The 5980-nt window shown below is 42.1% G+C and overlaps 1 annotated feature.

Moving 5' to 3' along the window:
- Positions 2017-2634: an enhancer, noted in NCBI's record as "NANOG-H3K4me1 hESC enhancer chr13:95600109-95600726 (GRCh37/hg19 assembly coordinates)". NCBI's record gives its function as "activates a minimal SCP1, AML or CMV promoter by ChIP-STARR-seq in primed H9 embryonic stem cells {active_cell/tissue: H9 hESC(primed)}" and the evidence as "EXISTENCE:reporter gene assay evidence [ECO:0000049][PMID:30033119]".

Here is a 5980-nt window from a genome sequence, read left to right as displayed (position 1 = left end):
GCTCTGGCGTCCCTTCCATTATCTGATCCCTGTGTTACTTTAAGCGACTTGAGGAGAAAGAAAATACAAATCAGCAGCTGAACTAGTTGCAGAACAACTCGGGTGGTATACTATGCCTTTTATTCAAAGATAAGTGTGTGTATGTTTTACTTGTCCTACTAGGTTATAACCCGCCTGAGGGCTGAAGGTATTATGGCTTGTTTCGTTTAAATCTCTCTTTTCCAGAACCGTAGTTCTTGGCAAAGATGATTGGTAGATGAATAAATGAATGTCTGACATTGATAAATCTACCATTCAGTAGAGCAGTGTTTCTCGGAGCTTTTCCTATTGTGATAAGGTATCAGTGATGACCTGTTATGTTCTCTGTCACAAATCCATTATTTTTACATGGGCAAGATGATTGACTGGAGTTAGAGTGATAATTTGGGGCTTTGAGACAGCAAGATGGGTTCAGCTTTAGCAGAACTAGCTTTTTTTTTCTAGTTAATTTTTTACTAGTATAAAAGAATCCTTTTGTTGATTATCATCATTGCCAGCAAACCAACTTAGATGGCAACTGTTGACACAGAGTACAAATAAGAAAACTGGAATCTATTCTTTCAGGGAATTTTCCTTAAAGTGTAGCGTTTGGACAACCTATCAGAATCACTGACGAGAGGTGCTTTTTAAAAACATGGTTTCCTGGGCCCTCTGTGAGACCCACGGAATTATAATATGTTGGGGAAGGACCTCCCTAAACTTCTTTTCTTTTCTAATGCACACTAAAATTTGAAAACTGCTTTAAAGAAAAGAGCATTTAGTGTATATAGTCAGCTTCTACTGGGAGCTTTATTCAACATGCTTGGTTACAGTAGGCAGTTTCACTGTTCTTACAGAGTATATTTTAAGGTCTTGAGAGACATCATCATAGAGTTAGAAAAAGAGCTCTGGTTTGCAGTGAGAAGACCTGAGAATGGTCTGTCAATGTCTGTGTCTCGGGTCAATCAGAACTTCTTTGGTCTTCAGACCTCTTACCTGCTGTAAGAGCTGTTGGTCTTCCTGAGTGATCCAGATGTTCCCTGATAGCCCAGACTTCAGTGGAACCATCATCTTCAAAATCCTCACTGCTGTTTTATAAACAATAATAGTAGCAAACATTTATATACACTTACTCATTTAGTCCTTCTCAACATTTCTTTAGGGTAGGTTAACCCCATTGTACAGAGAGTACTACTGAGGCACAGGGATGTTAAACAACCAGGAGAGGTTAAACAGCTAAATAAACAACCAAAAAGATTATGTTATATATGAAATAATGATGTCTATATTAAAAAATCAAAATATTTCTATATTCAAAATAGTAGAAAGCACAGTGGACAGGGAGTCAGGAGACCTGGGTCTCACGTGAGTTGCTATCACTAGTTATATGACTATAGCTGGTCACTTAACACCCTGGTTCTTATTTTTCCCTCAGTAAAATGTCATTCCAGAACATTCCAGGGTTCCTTCTAGCTTGTAAAAAATCTCCTTGTGCGATCCTCAGTAGCATTCCTTAATGTATTTTGTGTACTGATTACGCTTTTTTTTTTAACAAAATGCTCAGTATACATCAAAGAATGATTATCATTAAAGATTTGCTTCAAAAGTATTTTCTTTAAATCCCTACGTCATATTCCTATAAATGAGTATCTATTAGACAGAGGTATAAATATTTTAAAGATAAGCATTATATTTCCAAAGATTTATTTAACTTTCCTTTTCTTCATGAACCTGTTGAAAAATGAGGATGTCTTGCCACGGATACCTCGTGTACCCAGAAGGGGCTGCCAGAAATGGCGAAATAGCTTGACTAATCCAGCTGAAGTTAGTTCTTCCTGTCTTAAAACAAGGTGAAAGCTCATACAATTATTCATTTTGCTGTGAAAATTTCATCTGTTTTTATAGAAGAGTCTTCCCAATGGGTCATATAGACTCCTATAAGCAAGCACACCCCAACTGTTTCCTTTTCATAATTATCTAAAGCACAGACGAGCCTTGAAAAGACAATTGTATAGCTTCTTGTGTTGCTTCATGGGCTTTAAGTGCCCACAAAGAGGATTCCTTATGCTTTAATTTCTCTTTATTTTTCTCACCGTAAAGACCCTTGGGGTAAATGCCAGCCCCACAATCCCGCCGTTATATGGTTACTGTCAGCCTGCTCAAATGATGCTTCCTGTTCATTAGGCCTCTTTTCATCTGACTACAATGTCTTGGCGTTGCAGCAATTCTTAGTCAACGCCCATCTCTTCAATAGCCTGTGAATAGTATTAAATGGTGTTTATGCTAGCTATTGTTGCCTTTTGTGTGGTTTGTCTAATTCACAGAGAAAAGTCTGCTTTTGTGGTCGAAGACCAGCTACGTCATGGCACACCATGTGCCTTCTGATGGGACCCAGTCCTGCTGAGTGATAACATTACAGGCCTGAGCTTCTTTGCAACACAATCCCGCATTCTTAACCACAGTCAATACTCTCACAGGCAGACTGGTTTACTCTTTTTATTAAGAGGTAGGGGAAGATAAAGCACAAACAAATACCAGACCCTGAAACAAAACAGAAAAGAAGGGTAAGTTCAACTGATTTGCAGCTTACTCAGGCAAGAAGTGAGAATGCAAGTGAAAAGAAAATCACGGATTTATTCTATTAGCAACCAGACGTGCCAGGTGTACCCACGGTGGCAGCAAATACTTCACATTTCAGGAGTAAGATTGCATTATGGTTTCGAGGTATTGTTTAAAACGACACTTAATACCGAGTCACCACTCTGCTGGGCTTTTTCTAAAGTGCTCACAAAAGAGAAAGGATAGTGTATTGATGATTACATTATCCTCTGGTTCAAGAGTCTTTGCAGGGCAGGTATGTTGCTATGTCTTGAAAGGGCTTTTGATGTAAGAGGATCATTATGGGCTCAGTGGTCATTGATCCCTGGCAGCCCTGGGTTTTGGTGCTGTGGGTTATTTCATCCTGTTGCGTTGCATAATCCGTTTTTCAGCTATCTACAGTCTTTTTTATATTCCTAATGGTGGCTTATATTTTATTTTATTTTGTTTTTTCCCTTGAGACCAGAAGTGCTTCCCAGACAAAGTCAGATGCAGAGAAAGGGAAAAACTTTACTGTTAGCTGATGATACACATCCTTTGGTATTGAAAGCATCTTTCTGAATTATGGTTCGGGCTTATTTCCCTCATATCCTTCTACTTTCTGACATCAAAACCAACCCAAATGTAAAACTGAACCCAGGCACAGACAAGGAAAAAGAAACTAGGAACCACGGCTCAAACATGTTACAGACTCCATGTTTTCTAGAAGAGAGAGTATAAACAATATTATTACATCGACATACACTGACAAAATGGGATGCTTTGAATTTCTGTTTAAATTTCTGAAAGTTTAGTTTTCTTTAATGAGAAGTTTCAAGGAGAAAGAGGCAAATTCCCCATTTCACCTCCAATCCAAGAAAAGCATAAAGGTTGCTTTTCAAAGGATCAGGGAGTTATTTTTCCAGGATGAGTCATGTCAACCCAAGAAAAGCTGCCCCTCCAACTTGGGCGACAAATATGTATTGTGCCTGGTATGACTCTAGCATTGAGCTGGTTGCTGTAGTAGGTTATGAAGAAAATAGAATTTGCAATATCTTGAGGAAAAGTGACACTATAAAGAGATCAGGGCCAGGTGCAGTGGCTCAAGCCTGTAATCCCAGCACTTTGGGAGGCCAAGGCAGGTGGATCACTTGAGGTCAGGAGTTTGAGACCAGCCTGACCAACATGGTGAAACCTTGTCTCTACTAAAAACAGACTAAAAAATTAGCTGGGCATAGTGGTGTGTACCTGCAGTCCCAGCTACTCAGGGAGGATGAGCAGGAGAATTCCTTGAAACAGGGAGGCGGAGGTTGCAGTGAGCCGAGATCATGCCACTGCACTCCAGCCTGGGTGACACAGTGAGATTCCATCTCAAAAACAAACAAACAAACAAAAAAGAGTGAGAGAGATTGAGGATAATTAAGTACCAACGAGGCAGGGTGATGACAAGCCTAAACCGGGGCAGGGCAGCCAGGTAAGCTCAGGCCACTGGAGAGCAGGCCTGTGTTGCATTTGCCCTGGCGTCTTCAGACCTGAGCACAGGGGATGCCATATTACAGGGGCTGGGTGAGTGGCGGCTTCCTTTCAATAAGTCTCTTGCTGGAAGAACAACAACAAATTAAATAGAGAGGAGAAGGGTGGGGTCACTACAAGTGAGTAAGTAACAAAAGCAATTGCCAGGGGTTGCCAGGGGACAAGAATAAACTTTAGGGGATGGAACCTGAGCCTGGAGCAGGGAAGTCCTAAAGAACATGCTCTTTCCTTAATAGCAGTTCTCTGGTTGAGAAAACCAAGAGCAATGTGGGTGGTAAGAAGTGAGTGAGAAAGGGGAGCTACGAAAACATTCAGGCGAGTGAGTCGAACCTGGTGATCAGTGAGACGGGGGACAGAGAGAGATGGGCATTTCAACCATTTCAACCTGTCTGACCAGACCGAATCACCCACCTATCTGAGCAGACCAACCAGAGGAGGCTGATGTCTTAGGAAGCAGCAGGGTAAGGCTTATCAGTGGAGGCGGAGGGGGGTTGGTGGCAATTGTAGGCATTTCGACTCCAGAAAAACAGTCTGCACTTGATGAAATGGGTTTTCATTCATTTATTCATACATGTGTTCGCTCATTTGAGATGCATTTAGTGTGAATCATCATATTTATTTGGCAAAACACAGTGCCAGAGGCTCCTGTGGATATCAGGAAAATTTGAGATTCTTATAATGGCATGCCAGGCTCTTTATCCCCCAAATATTTGAATCTCTACAGTTTGGGTTACTTGGCCCACATGAGTGCTCACTCCTCTTCTTCATGGTTTACTAAAAAAAGAGAACATCTGGTTCCAGAGGATGGGCTCTGCTGTGCTGCTGTTCCTTGCCGCATTCACTCATTCATTTATTCATTCACCAAATATCCATTGAGCCAAAAAATGTATCTGAAACAATTTAAACTCTGATGATAGAAAAATCAAGGGAGCACTGGGCGTGGTGGCTCACGCCTGTAATCCCAGCACTTTGGGAGGCTGAGGCGGGCAGATCACCTGAGGTCGGGAGTTCGAGACCAGCCTGACCAACATGGAGAAACCCCATCTCTACTAAAAAAATTACAAAATTAGCTGACATAGTGGCACATGCCTGTAATCCCAGCTACTAGAGAGGCTGAGGCAGGAGAATCGCTTGAACCTGGGAGGCGGAGGTTGTGGTGAGCCGAGATCTCACAATTGCACTCCAGCCTGGGCAACAAGAGTGAAACTTCATCTCAAAAAAAAAAAAAAAAAGAAAGAAAGAAAGAAAAGAAAAATAAGGGAACATCGTTTCTAGCTTTGAGGGGCTCACAGCTAAGTGGCAGGATCAGACATACCAAGAATAATTATATGAATGCAATCCTTATGCCAGAGGGTGCTGTCAGAACACAGAGGACGAAATGCCTACCTCTGTCTAGAGAGGCTCAGGGAGACCACAGAAGAGCTGGTGTGTAAGTTACGTCTTGAGAAAGTCTGGTCAACCTTGATATACAAGGGAGGCAATGGTATTCTAGGCAGAAGGGCAGCGTGTGCAAAGGGAGTGCTCCTCGTGTTCAGGGAACCGTGAACAGCTGGGTACTGACAGGGTGAGGATGGGGGATGATGCTTGGAAAGGTAGGCGGGTGAAGACCAGGATAGGTCTTGGTTTCATTGAATTTCACCTCCAAAATTTAGTCTCCTGCTTTCTTCAATGTGGTCAAGCTTCACTTTTGTCTCTACCTTGGTTTGTTTGCTAACCGAGGCCCCACCTTCCCCGCTTGACAATTTGCATGTGGCCAAACCACTCCTCACCTCTGATGCCAGCTACTTCATTCCTAAACCTCTGCCATTGTCTACAACCAACTTCTCCTGACTGAAGCTGTGCCAGCTTTCCC

This window comes from Homo sapiens, chromosome 13 (genome assembly GCF_000001405.40).
Source record: "Homo sapiens chromosome 13, GRCh38.p14 Primary Assembly".
In the NCBI taxonomy this organism is placed as follows: Eukaryota; Metazoa; Chordata; class Mammalia; order Primates; family Hominidae; genus Homo; species Homo sapiens.
Note: the sequence above shows the minus strand (reverse complement) of the source record. Positions and strands in the feature narration are given on the sequence as shown.